General features: G+C 52.8%; 2 protein-coding genes across 21 annotated transcripts in view, besides 5 other annotated features; one reads left to right on the forward strand and one right to left on the reverse strand.

The window, feature by feature from the left end:
* The window catches only part of CENPM (centromere protein M), a 19,957-nt gene extending 18,261 nt beyond the window's left edge, over positions 1 to 1,696 (reverse strand). For 4 of the 7 annotated variants that reach the window (XM_011530368.3, NM_001002876.3, NM_024053.5 and 1 more), the window contains exons 1-3: positions 1,564 to 1,696; positions 961 to 1,040; positions 457 to 549 (exon numbers count right to left, since the gene is read on the reverse strand). In XM_011530368.3, coding sequence (XP_011528670.1) covers positions 457 to 549; positions 961 to 1,040; positions 1,564 to 1,620 — 230 coding nt within the window. In that variant the 5' untranslated portion in view covers positions 1,621 to 1,696. Of the gene's footprint in view, positions 1 to 456; positions 550 to 960; positions 1,283 to 1,563 lie in introns of those variants that run through there. The other 3 variants (NM_001304373.2, NM_001304370.2, NM_001304372.2) reach the window with 1 other exon arrangement.
* Positions 1,493 to 13,483, forward strand: SMIM45 (small integral membrane protein 45). 14 transcript variants are annotated; one of them, NM_001395952.1, is made up of 4 exons: positions 2,234 to 2,502; positions 6,829 to 6,965; positions 7,783 to 7,922; positions 12,216 to 13,483. In NM_001395952.1, exon 4 carries the CDS (start codon positions 12,230 to 12,232, stop codon positions 12,434 to 12,436), a length of 207 nt encoding a protein of 68 aa, NP_001382881.1. In that variant the 5' UTR covers positions 2,234 to 2,502; positions 6,829 to 6,965; positions 7,783 to 7,922; positions 12,216 to 12,229; the 3' UTR covers positions 12,437 to 13,483. The 14 variants fall into 14 exon arrangements, 13 of the variants coding, with proteins under 13 accessions (NP_001382877.1, NP_001382878.1, NP_001382876.1 ...); NM_001395944.1 differs by lacking the exon at positions 2,234 to 2,502 and adding an exon at positions 10,649 to 10,696 and having other exon boundaries at positions 6,694 to 6,965; NM_001395948.1 differs by lacking the exons at positions 2,234 to 2,502; positions 7,783 to 7,922 and adding an exon at positions 1,493 to 1,850.
* Positions 1,500 to 1,709: an enhancer, noted in NCBI's record as "active region_19151". NCBI's record gives its function as "activates an Ori minimal core promoter by ATAC-STARR-seq in GM12878 lymphoblastoid cells {active_cell/tissue: GM12878}" and the evidence as "EXISTENCE:reporter gene assay evidence [ECO:0000049][PMID:35858748]".
* Positions 5,523 to 6,150: an enhancer, noted in NCBI's record as "H3K4me1 hESC enhancer chr22:42346983-42347610 (GRCh37/hg19 assembly coordinates)". NCBI's record gives its function as "activates a minimal SCP1, AML or CMV promoter by ChIP-STARR-seq in primed H9 embryonic stem cells {active_cell/tissue: H9 hESC(primed)}" and the evidence as "EXISTENCE:reporter gene assay evidence [ECO:0000049][PMID:30033119]".
* Positions 5,619 to 5,678: a silencer, noted in NCBI's record as "silent region_13814". NCBI's record gives its function as "represses an Ori minimal core promoter by ATAC-STARR-seq in GM12878 lymphoblastoid cells {active_cell/tissue: GM12878}" and the evidence as "EXISTENCE:reporter gene assay evidence [ECO:0000049][PMID:35858748]".
* Positions 9,749 to 10,260: an enhancer, noted in NCBI's record as "NANOG hESC enhancer chr22:42351209-42351720 (GRCh37/hg19 assembly coordinates)". NCBI's record gives its function as "activates a minimal SCP1, AML or CMV promoter by ChIP-STARR-seq in naive H9 embryonic stem cells {active_cell/tissue: H9 hESC(naive)}" and the evidence as "EXISTENCE:reporter gene assay evidence [ECO:0000049][PMID:30033119]".
* Positions 12,399 to 12,628: a silencer, noted in NCBI's record as "silent region_13815". NCBI's record gives its function as "represses an Ori minimal core promoter by ATAC-STARR-seq in GM12878 lymphoblastoid cells {active_cell/tissue: GM12878}" and the evidence as "EXISTENCE:reporter gene assay evidence [ECO:0000049][PMID:35858748]".
* Positions 13,484 to 22,139: the final 8,656 nt, after the last annotated feature.

Here is a 22,139-nt window from a genome sequence, read left to right on the forward strand (position 1 = left end):
TTTTTTTTTTTTTAGATGGAGTTTCACTTTGTTGCCCAGGCTGGAGTGCAGTAGCGCGATCTTGGCTCACTGCAACCTCTGCCTCCTGGGTTCAAATGATTCTCCTGCCTCAGCCTCCCGAGTAGCTGGGACTACAGGTACATGCCACCACGCCTGGCTAATTTTTGTATTTTAGTAGAGACGGGGTTTCACCATGTTGCCCAGGCTGGTCTCGGGCAATCTGCCCACCTTGGCCTCCCAAAGTGCTGGGATTACAGGTGTGAGCCATTGTGCCCGGCCGTTGTGTATTTTAAACATTGTGCACTGACCACTGGCTCCTCTCTCCTCACCTTACAGATTGACCTCAGCCAGCCTCTCCCATCCTCACCACTTCCCATCACAAGTTAGGTCACCGTCTCAGCACAGTCCTGAGCCAGGCCTGCCTGAGCCCTGACTGCCCCTTCCTCTGGCTCTCACCTGTATTTGCTGTGAAGATTAACCACAAACACGATCAGGTCAATTCGGGGCCGATTCACACTGGAGGGCAAAGGGAGGGACTTTGCCAAGTGGCTGAAAAACAGGAAATTGCAGGACTCAAGATATCCGTACCCCCCTCATAGCGACCGTTTAAATGCTGCCCTTCATGTGGAAAGAGGCCGTCAAGGGCTCCCCACCTCATCCTAGCCACCCGAGGCTCTTGTGGCCACGACTCCTTGGGCCAGCACAGAGGCAGGACAGGTCCGGTCCTATTCAGATTACTCCTGTCTGATTCCCTCTGCCAGAAACGGGCTCTGTTTAGTCACCACCTCGGCAAGGGGAGGTTGGGATATAAGACGGCATGGGACTAGCCAGCTACGCTGCATGCTGGGAGAAGGACCAGCCTCAGAGGAGGGGGCGCTGGGCTTCGGAGTTTAGCAGCTAGGACCGAATCCCTCTGGAGTGAGAGACACGTGGGCCCAGGCCACAGCCGCGGCTACTTACACCTTCAGCTCGGAGGCGCAGTCCTCTTTGAGCATCGAGTCCGCCAGCTGCTGCAGAAGAGCATCCTCCGTGCCCACCAGCTGCGCAGGGAGAGAGAGCGGACAGTCGAGCCCTAGGCACAGCACCCCCTGGGGAGGGCCTGGCCCTTCGACCCACTCCCGGGGGGATCGGGACACCGCCAGCAGGCGGCTCGGAGGACATTTCCCGAGAAGTGGACCCCGCGAAGCGGCACGGGCTGGGGGCCTGAGGTTTGGACCCGCTGCAGGCCTGTGGGCACCGCACTCTCTACTACCCGACCCTCGCTCCCACCGCCGGCCTCTCCAGGAGGCCAGACCCCCAGACGCGGGAAAACCAATTCCAGGCGCGGGAACTCGCCAATCAGAAGCTGGGAAAGGGTCCGCCGAGCACCTATTGGTGGGTGCGTCCCTCAACCTCAGAGAGCGGCTACTCCAATTGGTTCAGAGCATGGCTCTCCGCCTATTCCCCGCCCCCGCCACGGTAGCGCGCGCTGGCTTGGCGCCTCAGAGAGCTCAGTTGACCTAGTGGCTGAAGCACCGCCCAGGAGGAAAAACCGGCGGGGGAAGCAGGGCCGCCTGCACCTACCAAGATGGTGGCCGTGTTCAGGCCGGGCAGCTTGTCCAGGGGCCTCAACACCGACATCACAGCCGCAGGACCAACCGTTGCTCCTGCGGTGCGCGCCGATCTTTCAAACCGCCCTGAGTCCAGCCCCTAGAGCGCGGCCTGGGGGCACGTGCCTCCTTATAGGCGGGGCTTCGCGGGACGGGACGGGGCCTCTTAAAGGAACCGAACCTTTATCTCCTTTTCTGAGGGGCGTTCCAGCGCTACCCGTGGAACACGTGGTGGACAGGCCTTTGGTTCCACGCTCCACAGTAAGCAGGTTTTTAGTGATTCCTTTGTTCACTTTCATTCATTCATGCTCATACACAGTACTTTTTTTTTTTTTTTTTGAGACAGAGTCTCGCTTTGTGGCCCAGGCTGGAGTGCAATGCGCGCAATCTCGGCTCACTGCAACTTCTGCCTCCCGAGTTTAAGCGATTCTCCTGCCTCAGCCTCCCAAGGAGCTGGGACTACGGGCGCGCGTCACCACGCCCGACTTATTTTTTTATTTTTAGTAGAGACGGGGTTTCTCCAAGTTGCCCAGGCCGGTCTCAAACTCCTGGCCTCAAGTGATCCCGCCTCGGCCTCCCAAAGTGAGTGCTGAGATTACAGACGTGAGCCACCGTGCCTGGCCCTTTTTTTTTTTTTTTTTTTGGAGCGTCACTTTGTTGCCCAGGCTGGACTATAGTGACACGATCATAGCTCACTACAGCTTCAAACTCCTGGGCTCAAGTCATCTTCCTGGCTTAGCCTCCTGAGTAGCTGGAACTACAGGCAAGTGCCACCATGGGGATCTGGCCATGTTGCCCAGGTGGGTCGTAAACTCCTGGCCTCAAGCAGCCCTCCTGCTTCAGCCTCCTGAGTAGCTGGGACTACCGCTGCACACCAGCAGGCCCTGCCAATTGACTGCTTTTACAGTGAGTGGTAAGCATGCTGTTCTTTGTCCAATGGGAGACTTTACCTCATCTTTCAAGGTTCCTTGCTGCAAACACAGCCTGAGTACAGAGCTGTCAGGGTCTTGCTTTCTTGACATACCCAGCAAGAACATGCAGGGACGCTCAGGGCCCATAGCAAACTGGTTCTGCCAACAGTTATATAATAACTTGTTCACTGTCTCTACATCTAAAATGTAAGAAACAAGAGGTTAGAGACTTTGTCACTTTGTATGTCCAGCACTCTAAAAGTCCCTGGTACATCGTAGTTAATAAATATTTGTTGAGTGAATGGATGGATTACATTCATCCATTCATTCTCAGCAGTCATTCATTCATCATTTCCTATGCCCAGACCCAATGCCCTACCCTAGGAAGTCAGTTGAATCAGACATTATTGATTAACTTAGTTTGATGGGGGTGGGATAGACAATGATAACAGTGTGTTCATTGTTGTAATAACTGGGAGAGCAGAGACACTGTCTAGCCTAAATCCTTCTTACTGCAGACTAAACTAACTGTGTCTTGCTCAGAAAGATCAGGACGTAAATGGCCCCATAGAGCCACTGCCCTCAGCACAGATACGGCTTTCATTCCTCATGGCATGGGGTGTGGAGAGGACTTCCTGAAAGTCAAGCAGTAGTAGGCACTATGACAAGAAAATAAAGTAAGCTGAACGCCGTGGCTCATGCCTATAACCCAGCACTTTGGGAGACCGAGGCGGGTGAATCACTTGAGGCCGGGAGTTTGAGGCCAGCCTAGGCAATATAGTGAGACCTCATCTCTACAAAAAAATTTTTAAATTAGCTGAGCAGGGTGGGCATGGTGGTTCACGCATGTAATCCCAGCATTTTGGGAGGCCGAGGCGGGCGGATCACCTGACATCAGGAGTTTGAGACCAGCCTGACCAGCATGGAGAAACCCTGTCTGTACTACTAAAAATACAAAATTAGCTGGGCGTGGTGGTGCATGCCTGTAATCCCAGCTACTTGGGAGGCTGTGGTAGGAGAATCGCTTGAACTTGGGAGGCAGAGGTTGCAGTGAGCTGAGATTATGCCAGTGTACTCTGGCCTGGGCAACAAGAGCGAAACTCCATCACAAAAACAAAAAACAAACAAACAAATTAGCCAGGTATGGTGGCGGTGGCGGGCGCCTGTAATACCACCTACTCGGGAGGCTGAGGCAGGAGAATCACTTGAACCTGGGAGGCGGAGGTTGCAGTGAGCTGAGATCGCACCACTGCACTCCAGCCTGGGTGACATGTGAGACTCCATCTCAAAAAAAAAAAAATGAAAGATAAACTAAAGCTGTCTGGCAGAAGAGATGGATGGGAGGAGGCTACTTTAGAGCAGGGAGGCCTCCCTAAGGTGACATTTGAGCAGATGCTTGAATTCAGTGAGAGAGGGGCCCCTTAAGTATGATGAAGAAGAGGCCTCAGGCAGAAGGCAGTGCAAGTGGAAAGCCCCTGAGTGGGAAGCACTCCTGGCACTTCCGAGGCGTAGCAAGGAGGCCAGTGGCTGTGGCAGATGGAGTAAGAAGAACAGGGGAGGAGGTGAGGCCACGGAGGTGATTGAGCTCCCAGAGACTGAGGCCCTTAGAGAGTGGTGGGCTGGGAAAAGACTTTGGACTCTGGTGGGGACTTTCCAGGAGGGGCCGGGCTGAGACCCATTGGGTCAGCATGTGCTGAGTGCCTGCCCTGGGGACCCTGGTCCCAGAGGGGCCAAACTGCTTCAGGGAGTTACCACTTGTAACAAGAGACAAGGCACTGCAGTTGGGGAGGCCATCGGGGAGCAGCCAGGAGCAGCAGGAACCCAGGGGAAGCTGCTCTGTGTCCCTGGGGAGCCTGCACTCCACTTCACCGGGGCGGTGATCATTGGCTGAACAGAAAGTAGTTGTGTTTAAGATCCATACATGATGAAGGGTAGGGATGGGGAGGAGGCCAGATAGAGGCCTGGAGGTTCTTACATCCTGAACACCCAAGCTGGCAGGGTCATCAGAGTCCTCTGGGCCAGCATTTTTCAAATCGGCTTCTGTGGAGCCCTGGGGAGATGACTTGGGGTCCTGTGAGAGACGGGGGATTCCGAGTGGGTGGGGTCCAGAACCCCCACCCCCACCCAACCATTGAACCGAAGCAACCTCCACTTTATCTCTGTTATGTATTGAGCTTCCCATAAGCTTTTGTATGAATAAGGAATCAGTGGCTAAAACAATGCCGACAGGCCATGGATCACATACTTTACAGATTTATTGAGGCATAAGGGACACGTATAATCAACTACACTTATTTCAAGGGTACAATTTGATAAGTTTGACATATGTATATACTTAAGAAGCCACCATCACCATTAAGAGCCTGAACATACCTTCACCCCAAAAAGTTTACTCCTGCCCCTTTGTGATTCTTCCCCCAACTCCTCTGCTCTCCCACCCCAAAATGTTAAAAAGCACTTTGGCCAGGTGGTGGCTCACGCCTGTAATCCCAGTACTTTGGGAGGCTGAGGCAGGAGGATAGCTTGAGGCCAGAAGTTCAAGACCGGCTTGGGCAATATGGCAAAATCTTGTCTCTACAAAAAGTACAAAAATCAGCTGGGCATAGTGGCATGCATTTGTGGTCCAAGCTACTCGGGAGGCTGAGGTGGGAGGATCACCTGAGCCCAGGAGGCAGAGGTTGCAGTGAGCCATGATCACACCACTGTGCTCCAGCCTGAGTGAAAGAGCAAGACCTTGTCTTAAAAAACAAAGCAAAAGGCCAGGCGCAGTGGCTCACGCCTGTAATCCCAGCACTTTGGGAGGCCGAGGTGGGCAGATCATGAGGTCAGTAGATCGAGACCATCCTGGCCAATATCGTAAACCCGCCTCTACTAAAATACAAAAAATTAGCCGGGCATGGTGGTGCCCACCTGTAGTCCCAGCTCCTCGGAAGGCTGAGGCAGGGGAATCGCTTGAACCCGGGAGGTAGAGGTTGCAGTGAGCCGAGATTGCGCCACTGCACTCCAGCCTGGCGAACACAGCGAGACTCCGTCTCAAAAAAAACAAACCCTCTGTGAACTCACAGTCACCCCCCAGTCCCACATATGCTGGAAAGGACCTGTCATACCTGAAGAGCCCCTAGATGGCGCAGAGGTGTCTGTGGTGGGGGACCTAGGTCCTGAAGCCACCTCACCCAGAGGCTTTCCCCCTGCCCATCCCCAGGTTTCTGGGAACGGATTCCCTAGGGAGGTGGTTCCTGGAAGCCTTTTCCCAGCCACGCCCCGTGGGCCCTAGGGGGCTGCTCTCTCCCTCCTGAGAATAGCCCTCAACACGTGGCAGATACCTTGTCTATGGCATAGGGGGAGGGGGAGGATCCATGCTTGGGAAGGTGGACCCCACCCCCAACGTCAGCTCTTGGCTTTGAATTCCAGCTCAGTCACTGAGAAGCTGAGGGCTCTGGGAGAAGGAGAAGGCCAGCAGCATCACCTCTCTGCCTCATCCCAAAATGGGGTCTCAACACCAATCCAGCTGGGAGGACTGCAGGAAGTGATGTTGGGGCCAGCTGGAAGATGGGAGTGCTCAATGCCTGTGCTGGCTGTACACCAGCCAGGGGTGCTGTGGGGTAGATGAGGCAGAATGGGGAGGGGGAGCCATTTGCAAGGGTCCTGAAAGCCAGGCTAGGGCTCTGACCCTGGCATTGCTACTTTCTTGCTGTGTGACCATGAATAAGAATTAATTGAGTTAATATAATCAAAGCGTTGAAAACAGTGTCTGGTGCATAGGAAATGTTACATTGAGCCAATGTGTCTGAACTCTCAGACTCAGTCTTGGTTTTTCCTTGTATAACATATGACCCCCTTGAGCTCTACTGGTCACTGATTCTCTGTCCCCACCCGCTTGCCATTTACCCCAGCATCTCCCTGCTCCCCAAATGGCAGACCATCAAACCTTAGAGTTATCAGCCACGGTCCTCTCCTCTCTAGGCCCACCAGGCTTGGGGTCCTGCAGCCTGCTGGGTGATTCCCCCTCCCCGCACTCCCCCAATCCTGCCGCTCTGTCATCTGCTGTACCACGTGCACAGTACCAGGGATCCAGAAGAGAAGGCTGGTTGCCAGGGCAACGGAAGATAAAGCCCTTGCTCTGCCAGGCTGCTGATTGGCTGAGACAGGTCCCACCTCCTGCCATCCTGAGAGTGGGGGCTAGGGGGAAGGGTCTCTGATGGGCAGGGAGAGATACCAGGGTGCTGAGCCAGTCCAGGACTGCCCCCTCCTGGCCCACTCAGAGCCCCTGGGTGTGAGAAGCTCGTCTCCCGTGGGTTGCATTGGCTCTGCCCTATCTCTGCCTCCAGCACCCAGGGCGGCCGCAGATGGCAGTGTCTCTGGGGACAGCAGCTGCGAATGAGTCCACGGGCCAATGCTGAGCTGCTCAGGCTGAGGCGGTGTGCTCAGCACAGAGCCCCCGGAACTGGCATCTGCAGGGCGTGAGGTGGGTCTTTGGGCACACGGAGGGCACCGAGTGGTGCCAATGGCTTGGGAGGTAGGGAGAGGGGCTCTGCAAACTCACACTGTCTCAGGCAGCACATTGGCTGAAATGAGGCTGGAAAATTCCATATAGATCATCTGGTAACCCCATCCCCACCCTGTCACCGTGCACAGGGGACCGTGAGGCCCAGAGAGGGTGAAGAAGGGGCCAAGATAACACAGGAGGCCAGTGAGTGTGTTGCTTTTCCACCTAGGTCAGTTCCCTGAGAAATCAGGAAGAGACCACGGGGTCCTCAGTCAGCCTCAGAATGCCTGGGATTTTGTGCACAGGGCTGGAGAGGTTGGGGGACCTTGATCTCTATTCCACATCCCCCAGCATTGCAGCTGAAATGGCTTCTGTTCTGCCCCAGCCCTCCATTCGCATGTTTAAGCTGGAAGGAAACTGGGGGCCTGGCTGGGCCTGGATAGGGGGCATGAGTCACCTTGGACACAGTTAAGTCACACAGGGAGCAGCCTCCCTGCCTGAGGTGCTCCTTCCCTACCTTCACCAACCCTGGCAGCACCAGACAATCCTGCACTCTCTCCAGCTCCCCAGAAAGGCAGCTGGTTAAAAGGTGCTGGGTCCTACACGCTCCCCTGCCCTGGCTGCACTAGTCACTTTGGATAATCAGTGCACTCTTCATTTTATTCCTTCACAAATAGGGCACTTTAATACAATGTCGGTGCCTCAGAACAGCCAGTGAGGACCTTTGGGGTAGGAGAGGGGCTCCGGATGGATGCAGGACCAGGAAACAGCATCTTTCCCTCCCCTGGGGCCACAGCTTCCCTCACAGGCCCACCTGGGAGTAGAGAGACAAGAGGAGCTGGAGTTTGGAGACGGAGGTCAGAAGAGTGAGGGCTTCTCTCCGACCTACCTGGAGTTCTTTCCATCCATCCCCCTGCTTTCCTCCCCAGAAGCAAGGTGGGCATCTGCTCATTTCATCCTGCTCAGGTGCCTTTCCCTCCCCTGGAGGACGCAAGCCTCAGGGCATCGCTGGGGTTTGGCGTCTAGCTCTGCCACTTTCCAGTTGGGTAAGCCAAGGCAAGTTAGTGAGCCTGTCTGGGCCTCAGTTTCTTCATCTGTAAAATGTGGATAGTGACACTTGCCCCATAGGCCTGTTGTGAAGTTTGTGGAGGAAGTCAAAACAGTGCTCTACCTGCCGGGCAGGCAGAGGTGGGCTCCTCACGTCACCCCTTTCTTATAACTAGGGAAGGTTGGGGGTGGGTTCAATAGGCCCTGCATCATCCTGTCCCTGGAGGAGATGATCTGTGATCTGTGATCTGTTTTTTTTTTTTTTTTTTTTTTTTTTTTGAGATGGAGTCTCGCTCTGTTGCCCAGGCTGGAGTGCAGTGGCGCCGTCTCGGCTCACTGCAAGCTCTGCCTCCGGGGTTCACGCCATTCTCCTGCCTCAGCCTCCCAAGTAGCTGGGACTACAGGCACCTGCCACCACGCCTGGCTAATTTTTTGTATTTTTAATAGAGACGGGGTTTCACCGTGTTAGCCAGGATGGTCTTGATCTCCTGATCAAGTCTCAAAAAAAAAAAAAAATAGAGAATGGTAACAAGTACCCAGGTGATAGAGCTTTTGTGTCTGCTGAATGAGTTAATTTATGTAAAATATTCAGAACCAGTGCCTGGCACATAACAAGTGCTACATAGTAAGTTTGTTCTTATTCTCTGAGCCTCAGTTTCCTTATCTGTAAAATGGGGATAGGAATAGCACCCACGTCCTAAGGGTACTTTGAATTTTTTTTTTTTTTTTTTTTTTGAGATGGAGTCTTGCTCTGTCACCCAGGCTGGAGTGCAGTGGCACCATCTCGGCTCACTGCAAACTCCGCCTCCCAGGCTCAAGCGATTTTCCTGCCTCAGCCTGTTGAGTAGCTGGGATTACAGGTGCCTGCCACCACCCCTGGCTAATTTTTGTACTTTTAGAAGAGACGGGGTTTCTCCATGTTGGCCAGGCTGGTCTTGAACTCCTGGCCTCAAGTGATCCACTGCCTTGGCCTCCCAAAATGCTGGAATTACAGGCGTGACCCACCACAGCCAGACAGTGATCTGGCTTTTGAAGTATGAGTAGGAATTTGCCAAGTGAACAAGAATGCATATGCAAAATGAAAGCATATGCAAAGATGAGGACTGCATAATGTGCAGGCGCATGTAGGTGACGGACAGGCAGTTCCATGTGACCGCACATAGTGTGCCATGTGAGGAGGGGGAGGTTGGCAGGGAGCAGATGGGCACCTTTGGGCCATTCTAAAGAGTCTGGGTGGGCCGAGCACGGTGGCTCATGCCTGTAATCCCAGCACTTTGGGAGTCCGAGGTTAGGATCACTTGAGGTCAGGAGTTTGAGACCAGCCTGGCCAACATGGCAAAACCCCGTCTCTACTAAAAAATACAAAAACTACCTGGGCATGGTGGCAGATGCCTGTAATCCCAGCTACTCACAAGGGAGGCTGAGGCAGGAGAATCGCTTGAAGGTGGAGCTTGCGGTGAGCCGAGATCATGCCATTGCACTCCAGCCTGGGCAACAGAATGAGACTCTGTCTCAAAAACAAAAACAATAAAAAAGAGTCTGGGTGTATATAAGGTTTGTGACGCACCTTACACCTGCTACCTTCCACTTTCCTGCCTTCTCCGCCTCTCGCTCAGTGGAAATAACAATAGCTGATATTGACCAAGTGCTGATTCTGTGCCAGGCAGAATGGTGCAAAATGCTTTTTTATTTTAATTTTTTTTTTTTTGAGACAGAGTTTCACTCTTGTTGCCCAGGCTGGAGTGCAGTGGCACAGTCGTGGCTCACTGGAACTCCACCTCCTGGGTTCAAGCAACTCTCCTGCCTCAGCCTGCCGAGTAGTTGGGATTACAAGCATGTGCCACCACACCTGGCTAATTTTGTACTTTTAGTAGAGACAGGGTTTCACCATGTTGGTCAGGCTGGTCTTGAATTCCTGACCTCAGGTGACCCATCCTCCTTGGCCTCCCAAAGTGCTGGGATCATAGGCATGAGCCATTGGCCTGGTTGCAAAATGCTCTTTAGGCATTGTCTTGTTAAAACTGCAAAGTACCCAGGCTGCATGCGGTGGCTCACGCCTGTAATCCCAGCACTTTGGGAGGCCGAGGTGGGCGGATCACGAGGTCAGGAGATCAAGACCATCCTGGCTAACACGGTGAAACCCCGTCTCTACTAAAAATACAAAAAATTAGCTGGGTGCAGTGGCGGTCACCTGCAGTCCCAGCTACTCAGGAGGCTGAGGCAGGAGAATGGTGTGAACCTGGGAGGCGGAGCTTGCAGTGAGCCGAGATGGCGCCACTGCATTCCAGCCTGGGTGACAGAGCAAGACTCCGTCTCAAAAAAAAAAAAAAAAAAAATTCAAAGTACCCTTAGGACGTGGGTGCTATTTCTATCCCCATTTTACAGATAAGGAAACTGAGGCTCAGAGAATAAGAACAAACTTACTATGTAGCACTTGTTATGTGCCAGGCACTGGTTCTGAATATTTTACATAAATTAACTCATTCAGCAGACACAAAAGCTCTATCACCTGGGTACTTGTTACCATTCCCTTTTTTTTTTTTTTGAGACTGGATCTTGCTCCAGGCTGGAGTGCAGTGGCGGGATCACAGCTCACTGCAGCCTCCATCTCCCAGACTTAGGTGATCCTTCCACCTCAGCCTCCCGGGTAACTGGGATTACAGGTATGTGCCACCATGCCCAGCTAATTTTTTGAGTTTTTAGTAGAGACGGGGTTTTGCCATGTTGCCCAGGCTGGTCTCGAAGTCCTGGGCTCAAGCAATCCACCCGCTTTGGCCTCCCAAAATGCTTGGATTACAGGCATGAGCCACCACGTCCAGCCCCATTCCCATTTTATAGATGTAGAAACCAAAGGTCTGAATATCTTGCCCAAGTGTTTTGGTGCTAGGGGCCTTGTCCTTACAACTATGAAACTGGGCTTGTGTAGACTCCATTGATATCAACCAGGTCTCCTTCAATGGGTGTTTGTTCACTACACTTTCACCAGGCCACACTTGGCTAGGGCGTGCAGGTGGCTGGGAGACCTACTCATCTCAGGGGCAGGTGCTGGCAACTGGCAGCCATGGCAGCTGCAGTCAGGGCTGGGCCCCGGGGCTCAGGGGCACAAGGAGACCAGAGGAGGCATCGCCCAACCTGTCCTTTACCGAGTGCCCTGCACAGGCCCCATCCAGGGATCAGTCACCCCACTGAATCCTCACTAGGACCAGTGTAGAGGTGTTGCCCCTTTCCCCTTCCATAGGGGAGGAAGCTGAGGCCCTGCGAGGTTAGGCAACTTGCCCAAGGGCACACATCCTGGCAAGAGACTGAACCAGAACTGCTCATGGTTAAGTCGCTCTGTTGCCCAGGCTGGAGCACAGTGGCGCGATCTTGGCTCACTGCAACCTCCACCTCCCAGGTTCAAACGATTCTCCTGTCTCAAGTAGCTAGGATTACAGGTGCGTGCCATCATGCCCGGCTAATTTTTGTATTTTTAGTAGAGATGGGGTTTCACCATATTGGCCAGGCTGGTCTTGAACTCCTGACCTCAGGTGATCTGCCCACCTCGGCCTCCCAAAGTGCTGGGATTACAGGTGTGAGCCACTGTGCCCAGCCTAAGACTCCTTAAAGGGTGAATAGGAGCTGGGTGTCCCCATGGCGTGGGGATAGCTCTGTGCTTGCCCACGAGGCCTGGGCGGCTGAGTCACCACGTGGTCTTTTTTTTTTTTTTTTTTTTTTTTTTTCCTGAGACGGAGTATCGCTCTGTCACCCAGGCTGGAGTGCAGTGGCACGATCTTGGCCCACTGCAAGCTCTGCTTCCCAGGTTCACGACATTCTCCTGCGTCAGCCTCCGGAGTAGCTGGGACTACAGGCATGCGCCACCACGCCCGGCTAATTTTTTTTTTTTTTTGTATTTTTAATGGAGACGGGGTTTCACCATGTTAGCCAGGATGGTCTTGATCTCCTGACCTCGTGATCCGCCCACTTCGGCCTCCAAAGTGCTGGGATTACAGGCGTGAGCCACCGCGCCCGGCCTACCACGTGGTCTTGATCAGCCGCTTCCCCGCCCTTGCTCTCCTGGACCTCAGTCTCCCCATTTGTAAAGTGATGCTTGGGCCTCGGGCTCTGTGAAGCCTGAAGGTCTCCCTCTGGGTGGGCGGGACAGGGAGCACCTCTGCTGGCCCTCACCACGCTGTGTCTCCGCAGCCAAGGCCGCCGCGATGCCGCACTTCCTGGACTGGTTCGTGCCGGTCTACTTGGTCATCTCGGTCCTCATTCTGGTGGGCTTCGGCGCCTGCATCTACTACTTCGAGCCGGGCCTGCAGGAGGCGCACAAGTGGCGCATGCAGCGCCCCCTGGTGGACCGCGACCTCCGCAAGACGCTAATGGTGCGCGACAACCTGGCCTTCGGCGGCCCGGAGGTCTGAGCCGACTTGCAAAGGGGATAGGCGGGCGGCACCGGGCGCCCTCCCCCAGCCCGCCCCGCCCGCCCAGCCCGGAGACCCCCAAGGCAGAGGGAGGCCGGCCTGTTGGCCCTCCACGCTATCCCTCTGCAGCCTGGGCCCTCCCGACAGAGGCCCCAGGTGCGCTGGCAGTGGAGGTGGGGCACTTAGGTGCCTGGCTGGCCCAGGGCTTGCTCTCCGTGTCAAGCCGACTCACCCAGAGCCCACCCTCCCAAGCTCAGGGGCATCCTCCGCTGGGCCCCAGTGCCTTTGCGCTGCGCAGCACTCTGCCCTCCACTGGACTCAGGCATGTCTATGGCTGCCTGTCCTGAGGCTCCGGAGCCCTCATTTCTTCGTGAAGTCCCCAGCTCCCCTGCCTCCACTCAATGGCACCGGCCCTGCAACTTTAGGCAGGTCGAAGCCAACCCAAGGAAAGAACCTAAGAACCTCGTTTGGAGGGATGTCAGCTTGGGCCAGACCAGCCGCACCCCGCGGGGCTCAGGCTTGGAACTGGTGAGGGTGTGTGGTGGGGGTATGCAGAGGGATAAGACCGTGGTAGAGGAGAGGGTTGGTGAGGAGAGAGAGAGAGAGAGAGAGAGAGTCTGGGGGGAGCGGGCAAGCATGGGGAGATGAGATGTGTATATGTGAGAGAGAGTGTGGGGGCCCCAGGCAGGGCAGGAGGTGGTGGAAACGGGGTGAACTCCGTGGGCTGTGTGAGGACTGTCCATAGTGGGTCCCAACCCCCTCCCTCTGCTGGAGTTTCCTAGCCCTTCCCCCTCCCCAAGACTGTGGCAGCAGGCAGGAGCCCCTGCCCTCCCTCCCTGTCCTGTGCCACACTTCTGGGGCCAAACCCAGCCCCCTTGAGCCAGGCCCTGCCAGACTCCAAGCCCACCCTAGAACCCTCCTCCTGTGTGGAGACTCTGTTGCCCCACTTTGGACACAGATTGGCAACCTGCCTCACCCCGCCCCCCTTCGCTGGGGCTTCCATCTTAATTTATTCTCAATAATAAAGACTTCATGATGATCTCTGCAGGACCCTGTCTTTTCCTGAAATGAGGATCATGTCTGTCAACTCACTGGGTCCTCATGAAAAATATGACAGCTCCATAGTCCCCATTTTAGGGATGGGAACACTAAATCTCAGGGAAGGTAGGCCAGGGCTTCCCAAGAGCTGCAGTACTGACATTTTGGACTCGATCACTCTTGGTTGTAGGGGGTTGTCCTGCCCATTGTAGGATGTTTAGCAACCCTGGTTTCTCCCCAGTAGATGCCAGTTGCAATTGCCCCCTCTCCTGTTAGGACAATCAAAAATGTTAACTGGGCTGGGCTCAGTGGCTCATGCCTGTAATCCCAGCACTTTGGGAGGCTGAGGTGGGCGGATCACCTGAGGTCAGGAGTTTGAGACCAGCCTGGCCAACATGGTGAAACCTCGTCTCTACTAAAAATACAAAAATTAGCCAGGTGTGGTGGCACATGCCTGTAATCCCAGCTACTGCGGAGGCCAAAGTGGGAGAATTGCTTGAATCTGGGAGGTGGAGGTGGCAGTGAGCCAAGATCCTGCCATTGTACTCCAGCCTGGGCAAAAAGAGTGAAACTCTGTCTCAAACAAAACAAAACAAAACAAAACACCCCAAAAATGTTAACTGGAACTCCTGGGGTAGATTACCAGTTAGGATACAAATTCAGACACAACCAAGATGCAAAACAACAGAGCCTTACACTGTCAACAAAAAGAGTCCAACTCTTTTCGGCTGGAGCACAGTGGCACGATCTCAGCCCACTGCAACCTCTGCCTCCCAGGTTCAAGCGATTCTCCTGCCTCAGCTTCCTGAGTAGCTGGGATTACAGGCGGCCGTCACCACGCCCAGCTAATTTTTGTATTTTTAGTAGAGACAGGGTTTCAATATATTGGCCAGGCTGGTCTCGAACTCCTGACCTCAAGTGATCCACCCACTTCAGCCTCCCAAAGTGCTGGGATTATAGATAAGAGCCACTGCGCCCAGCCAAACTGCCTTAGTTTCTCAGAGAGTTAGGGGTGTGAGGCTGGGATTAGAAGCTCAGTGCAGCCCCTGTTCATCCAGAAAACTCTTTCCCAGCCATGGTCAGAGGCAGGACTGAAAAGGGCCCAGGCCAATCCAGTTAGGAGTGATCATTGCAAGGGACAGAAACTTGACTGTCCTAGCTTGGCCAAGACGGCCAGATACCATGAGGACACTGCGGTATTCTGTCCCTTTAGGACAGGAAAGTAGTGGGCTTAGGACAACTAGAGCCAGGCATGCAGACCCCCTTAGGATTCTTTTTCTTGTTAGTCGCCACTCTCACACCCTCAGCATGGAAAACACAGCAGTCAGCTGCTGGCAATTTCTGTATCTCACAGCTCCAGCCCCTGGAGCTACCAGTCCTTGCTCTGCCCCCAGTGCAAATATCTCTGGGGTGGGATTCGTTGCCTCATTTTAGGTCAAGTGTCCATGTTAAGCCAGTCACCCAAGGCTGGGGCAGTGTCCTGTGGGTGGTTCAGCGTGGGTCATCTCAGAACAAGGCAGATCCCTTGGGATGTAGGGAGAGGAAAAGGCAGGTTTCAGGAAAAATGATGTAAACTCCCCCATCCCCACCTCGACCACAACAGACTCTTTTGGAGGTAGATTAGGCTTGACTGGCTGAGCGAGGGAGGGCCTCCAGGCATGATCTGGCCTGCAGCCAAGTTTGATTTGTCCCACATAGTGTTTTGAAAAAATGCAAATTAGTTGCCAACATTCACCAGTCAGGAGATTTCACACTAGAATCTTTTTCTGACTCCTCCTTAAAAATAAAAATTCTAGCCACATAGAGTCTGAAGTGTAAATGTGTTCATGGTCACGAGCTTCACAGCCTGGGCAGGGAGGGTGCTGACTGTGACCCTGCCGGAGGCCTTAAGGTGGCCAGTCCTCCTCTCAGGAGGGCTGCCTCCATTCAACGGCTGTAGCAAGATTTCTCATCCTAGGCTGCCATCAAAGGAAGGCTGAGAGATTCATCCAAGCCCTCTGCTCTTCAACCTGGATCCTTTCCCAGACTTCTCCCCTGGGCTCATTGCATAAATGTTTATTTACACCTGTTCTTCCCCTAAAAGATTCAAGAAGGTTTCAGTTGAAGGAGCCACATAACATGGGTGTAAGGAGGAAATATTTTAATTCTGACTGCTACTGTAATGCTGTTATTATTACTTGTCTCTAAGCCTCCTGGCAGCCAGAGGGAAAGGAGAAACACAAAGAGGGCTTTATTTTATTTATTTATTTATTTATTTATTTATTTATTTATTTTTGAGACAGAGTTTTTGCTCTTGTTGCCCAGGCTGGAATGCAATGGTGCTCACTGCAACCTCCGCCTCCCGGGTTCAAGCAATTCTCCTGCCTCAGCCTCCCAAGTAGCTGGGATTACAGGCATGCACCACCACGCCCAGCTAATTTTGTATTTTTAGTAGAGACAGGGTTTCTCTATGTTGGTCGGGCTGGTCTCGAACGCCTGACCTCAGGCAATCCACCAGCCTCAGGCTCCCAAAGTGCTGGGATTACAGGCGTGAGCCACTGCGCCCGGCTTTTTTTTTTTTTTCTTTTTTAGAAATGGGGTCTTGCTATGTTGCCCAGGCTGGTCTTGAACTCCTGGGCTCAAGCAATCCTCCCACCTCCCAAAGTGTTGGGATTACAGGCGTGAGCCACCACACCTGGCCCATCTTTTTATTGTTATGTGATAGAAGGGAGAGATTCACTCTTCATGAAAGACAATTTTTTTTCTGTTTTTTGTTTTTTTTTTTTTTTTTGAGACAGAGTTTCGCTCTTGTTGCCCAGGCTTGGCTCACTGCAACCTCCGCCTCCCAGGTTCAAGTGATTCTCCTGCCAGTAGCTGGGATTACAGGCATGCGCCACCATGCTCAGCTAATTTTGTATTTTTAGTAGAGATGGTGTTTCGCCATGTTAGTCAGGCTGGTCTTGAATTCGTGACCTCAAGTGGTCCGCCCGCCTTGGCTTCCCAAACTGCTGGGATTCCAGGAGTGAGCCATGGCACCTGACCTTTTTCTGGTTCTAAATATGAAAAAGAAATGCCTCAGATGGTATAGTAAAAGCAACACAGTGGAGGGGAGGGAAGGTTTGACCCAGATGGCAGAGCCTACAGAAACAGGCCATTGCCCGTGGAGGCAGGATGTTTTTTCCATCTGCGAGGGGATGCCAGAGGACTGGACTAGGAGCGATTCGAGGTCAAGACCTGATAATAGTTAATCCTATAAAACCATTGATTTAAATTGCACATCCTTGGGCAAGTTTCCTGAGCTCTCAGAAACACAACCAAACATTTTTGTGTCAGGCACTGAGAATCACAGATGATTAAAGCTCAAAAAAATGTCCCCTGCCAGTGTCTGGCATTGTGCTCAGCTCCTGTCAGGTTCTCCGTATAGCCCTGTTCATTTCTTTTTTTTTTTTTTCTTTTTTCTTTTCCTTTTTTTTTTTTTTTTTTTTTTGAGACAGAGTCTCGCTCTGTCGCCAGGCTGGAGTGCAGTGGTGCGATCTTGGCTCACTGCAACCTCCGCCTCCCAGGTTGGAGCAATTTTCCTGCCTCAGCCTCCCGAGTAGCTGGGACTACGCACCACCACACCCAGCTAATTTTTGCATTTTTAGTAGAGAGAGGGTTTCACCATGTTGGCCAGGATGGTCTCGATCTCTTGACCTCGTGATCTGCCCACCTCGGCTTCCTAAAGTGCTGGGATTACAGGCATGAGCCACTGTGCCCATCCAAGCCCTGTTCATTTTCATATCACTCCTGCCCTACCTCCCTCACCGGGTGATGGCAAATGTCAGAGATAGTGGGGAAGAAAGCACTGTATAAACGCCATGTATCACATAGCTATCCTCTTTTTTTTTTTTTTTTGAGATGGAGTCTTGCTCTGTCACCAGGCTGGAGTGCAGTGGCACAGTCTTGGCTCACTGCAACCTCTGCCTCCTGGGTTCAAGCGATTCTCCTGCCTCAGCCTCCCAAATAGCTGGGATTATGGGCATGCGCCACCATGCCCAGCTAATTTTGTATTTTTAGTGGAGATGGGGGTTTCACCATGTTGGCCAGGCTGGTCTTGAACCCTTGACCTCGTGATCTGCCCGCCTCGGCCTCCCAACGTGCTGGGATTACAGGCATGAGCCACTGCGCCCGGCCCACAGCTATCCTCTTGAACTCTACAGAGGCATGTCACATACCTAGGCCTGGCACCAAGAATGTAATGGAAAAGAGGATGTCCCTGCATCAGAAGAGCTCACAAACTGGGGTTACAGAAGTATAAACAGACAAACTATTATTATTAGTAGTAGTATTTTTTGAGAGGGAGTGTTACTCTGTTGCCCAGGCTGGAGTGCAGTGGTGTGATCTCAGCTTACTGCAACCTCCGCCTCCCAGGTTCAAGCGATCCTCCTGCCTCAGCCTCCCGTGTCTGGGACTACAGGTGCGCGTCACCATGCCAGGGTAATTTTTGTATTTTTAGTAGAGACTGGGTTTTGTCATGTTGGTCAGGCTGGTCTCGAACTCCTGACCTCAAGTGATCCGCCCACCTTGGCCTCCCAAAGTAGTGGGATTACATTGTGCCTGGCCAACAGACAAATTATAAAACTGTACCTGCAGCAAGAGAAGTATGTGTGCAGAACTGGAAACGGAACCGAAGAAGTGCCTAGTTTTTGGGGAAGGGGGTTGTCAAGGAAGGCTTCCCGGAGGACATGACTATTAATCTGGGTTCTGGAGGTGGAATAAGAGTTTTCCCTGCAAAGGGAAAGAAGGCTGCAAGTGTTAAGCCATGGACTCTGGAGAGAACCTAGTCCTTTTTGAGGACTGTGAGTGGTGTGGCCAAAAGACAGAATGCAAGTGAGCCAGTGGCAGGAGGGCAGGCGGATTAAGCAACCAGAAAGTGGCTTTTCAAGGAAGGCTTAGACCCAGACTGAGAACCCGATGACCTTCCTATTACCACCTACTCGAGGAAGCCTTCCCTGGCCCCCCCAGCAGCTTTCCCCATTACAATGCTAATCTTGTGTTGCGATTTTGTTCACGTCAGTGGGGAGCAGTGACCACATCTTCTCATCTTGGCTTGCAGCCTTACTGGCACTGGTCAGGGCCTCCTTAAAAGCTTGCTTGTTGCAAGAATGGGGCTAGTTTCTTTGGAAGTCCTGCCAGGAGTTGCCTGTTTGCTTAGAAACCAAGATTTCAGAAAGGCTTGGAGGTTTCCTGGGCATCAAGCTGTGTGCAGATTTTTAAAATGCTTTGAGAGGTTTTGCAGAGTCCTGGGAGCTTTCCCAACATCTGAGAGCTGTCAGGATGGGGAAGGGCAGGTGTGTCAGGGTTCGGCCCAGAACAGGAGGACAGGAGGCGGGAATGTACAGGGTCCCTGAGTAAGAATGGCTGCAATGTTCGGATTCCAGCCCTGGAGGGTGGCACAGGCTCCTCATTGTTCCGCCCCCTCAGTTCTTCACACTGGCTGAGAAGGAAGGGCTCGGGAAGGCTGAGAGACCAGCTTTGGGAGAAGGGCAAAGACTGCAGGCTCCCTCAAAAGACTATCACAGTCTCAGTCAACCACCCTTACAGAGAACCCCTGGCAGGCAGAGCTTTTTTCTCCCTCCCTCATAAGGTATGACGGGCTCAGTATTTGGAGCCTGGAGACCTAGGTGTCCAGCTACTGATTCACTGTGTGAACCTTGGCAGGTCCATTTCCCTCTATTTCTGCAGCTGTAAACAGCTGGAACTGATGAGAAAGTCAGAGGAAATCATGGAAGATACATAAAAAAGGAAATCAGAGTGCCAAGGCAACAATTTGAATGGCTAACATGGACTGAGCTCATGGACTAGCAATTGCCCATTGCATTTGTTTGTTTGTTTGTTTTGAGGCAGAGTTTTGCTCTTTCGCCTGGACTGGAGTGAAGTGGTGTGATCTCGGCTCATTGCAACCTCTGCTCCTTGGGTTCAAGTGATTCTCCTGCCTCAGCCTCCCAAGTAGCTGCGATCATAGGCGCCCGCCACCAGGCCCAGCTAATTTTTGTATTTTTAGTTGAGATGGGGTTTTGCCATGTTGGCTAGGCTGGTCTTGAACTCCTGACCTCAGGTGATCTGCCTGCCTCAGCCTCCCAAAGTCCTGGGATTACAGGTGTGAGCCACCGCGCCTGGCCCCCATTGCTTTTTTTTTTTTTTTTTTTTTGTGAGACAGAGTTTCGCTCTTGTTGCCCAGCTGGAGTGCAATGGTGTGATCTCGGCTCACTGCAACCTTTGCCTCCCGGGTTTGAACGATTCTCCTGCCTCAGCCTCCCAAAGTAGCTGGGATTACAGGCACGCGCCACCACACCCAGCTAAGTTTTTTGTATTTTTAGTAGAGACAGGGTTTCACCATGTTGGCCAGGCTTGTCTTGAACTCCTGACCTCGTGATCCGTCCGCCTAGGCCTCCCAAAGTGCTGGGATTATAGGCTTGAGCCACCGCGCCCGGCCCCCCATTGCATTCTTATGGCAACCATGCAAGTGGGTCCTCACTGCTGTTCACCAAAGGTTTCTGACTCTCCAGCTATCAGCACACGGTAGGATTAAACTTCCCTGCCTCCTTGTGATGGGTGGGGCCATAAGACTAGTTCTGGCCAATTAGTTGTAATTAGAAGTGAGTACAGGCCGAATGGCTGATGGACTAATGGCTAGTCCACAATTTGTCACTCCCTCCTTCCCTCTGCCACATGACTAGCAATGCACTAGAAGGCAGCCTGGGTCCCAGAGGGAAGAGGGCACAGAGCAGAGCCTTAGTGGACCCAAATTACTGTGGACATGAGACATGGATGAGAAATCAATGTATCATTGCGGCCAGGTGTGGTGGCTCAGGCCTATAATCCCAGTACTTTGGGAGGCTGAAGTAGGAGGATCGCTTGAGGCCAGGGGTTTTAGACCAGCCTGGGCAACATGGCAAAACCCTGTCTCTACAAAAATTAGAAAAATTAGGCTGGACGCAGCTCACGCCTGTAATCCCAGCACTTTGGGAGGCTGAGAAGGGTGGATCACTTGAGGTCAGAAGTTTGAGACCAGCCTAATCAACATGGTGAAACCCTGCCTCTACTAAAAATACAAAATTAGTTGGGTGTGGTGGCACACACCTGTAATCCCAGCTACTTAGGACGCTAAGGCAGGAGAATTGCTTGAAACTGGGAGGCAGAGTTTGCAGTGAGCTGAGATCATGCCATTGCACTCCATCCTGGGCAATAAGAGCAAAACTCCATCTCAAGAAAAAAAAAAAGAAGAAATATTAGCTGGGCGTGGTGGCACATGCCTGTAGTCCCAGCTACTCAGGAGGCTGAGGTGGGAGGATCACCTGAGCCTGGGTAGGTCGAGGCTACAGTGAGCTGTGATAGTGCCACTGCGCTCCAGCTTGGGCAACAGAGTGAGACCCTGTCTCAAAAAAAAAAAAAAAAAAAAAAATCAGCATGTTGTTATCAGCCACTGGGATTTGGGAATGGTTGTTACTGCAGCATAATTTAACTCATTCTGACTGATATAATCTCCATTTTACAGATGAGAGGGGAGCTCAGGGGGATTGACTTGTTTGAAAATCACATAGTTGTAACAAACCCAGGCTTGAAGGACTCCAGAGCCTATGACACTTGTCTGGGAGGCCACCACAATGGTTTTGTGGTTGAGTGGAGGCCTCTGTTCTCTGAGGCCACTTCCAGGCCTATGGATCTTTCCTTTGATGGGAAAGCACCATATGTATAGATAGGAGAGGGCCATTGTCACTTTGGGCCCCTAGAGGGCAGCTGAAACTTGGCCTGTAATTACTGGGCAGGAAGTGTCCTCTAAGCCTCTAAGCAGGGCAGATGGGCAGGAGGATGCGGAGATGAACATGACTCAGGCCTTGCTCTCAAGGCCCTAACAGCCTGGCAGGGAGCGAGATGGAGGAATTGTAGATCTTGAAGTAGAAGAGACCGACCACATGAGGGCATCTGATCCCTATTTTAAAAGGCAACTGAGTCCCAGAAGCACAAGTTAATCTGATAGACGTTGCCTGGTGAATCGTTGGCCAAAGTGGGGAGAGAACCCAGGGCCACTGATTTCAGCCCAAGGCTGCTTATCTCACAGAGATCATGTAATCCAATGGGGCTGGGCCCAGGAAAGTCTCCCTTGCTCCAATCCGTCCAGGCAGAGCTGTGCCTCTCCTTCCCAGCACCCTCTGTTCTTCCTTAAGTCAGGCCAGTTCTCAGGGCCTCAAAGCATGGAAGCGCCAGATAGCTGCCCTCCCCCATCCACTGGGATCCCAGCACGTTGCCCTGGTAACCAGAGCCCAGCCAAGTTTGAGAACCTAAAGCTGTAAGGGGAGAGAAAGGATAAGAAGAGGGATAGGGGCTGGGCACGGTGGCTCATGCCTGTAATCCCAGCACTTTGGGAGGCCGAGGCAGGCGGATCACAAGGACAGGAGATCAAGACCATCCTGGCTAACACTGCGAAACCCCATCTCTACTAAAAATACAAAAAATTTAGGTGGGCGTGGTGGCGGGTGCTTGTAGTCCCAGCTACTCGGGAGGCTGAGGCAGGAGAATGGTGTGATGGTGTGAACCCGAGAGGCGGAGCTTGCAGTGAGTCGAGATGGCGTCACTGCACTCCAGCCTGGGTGACAGAGCGAGACTCTGTCTCAAAAAAAAAAAAAAAAAAAGAAGAGGGATGGGT

Source organism: Homo sapiens, chromosome 22 (genome assembly GCF_000001405.40).
Source record: "Homo sapiens chromosome 22, GRCh38.p14 Primary Assembly".
Lineage (NCBI taxonomy): Eukaryota > Metazoa > Chordata > Mammalia > Primates > Hominidae > Homo > Homo sapiens.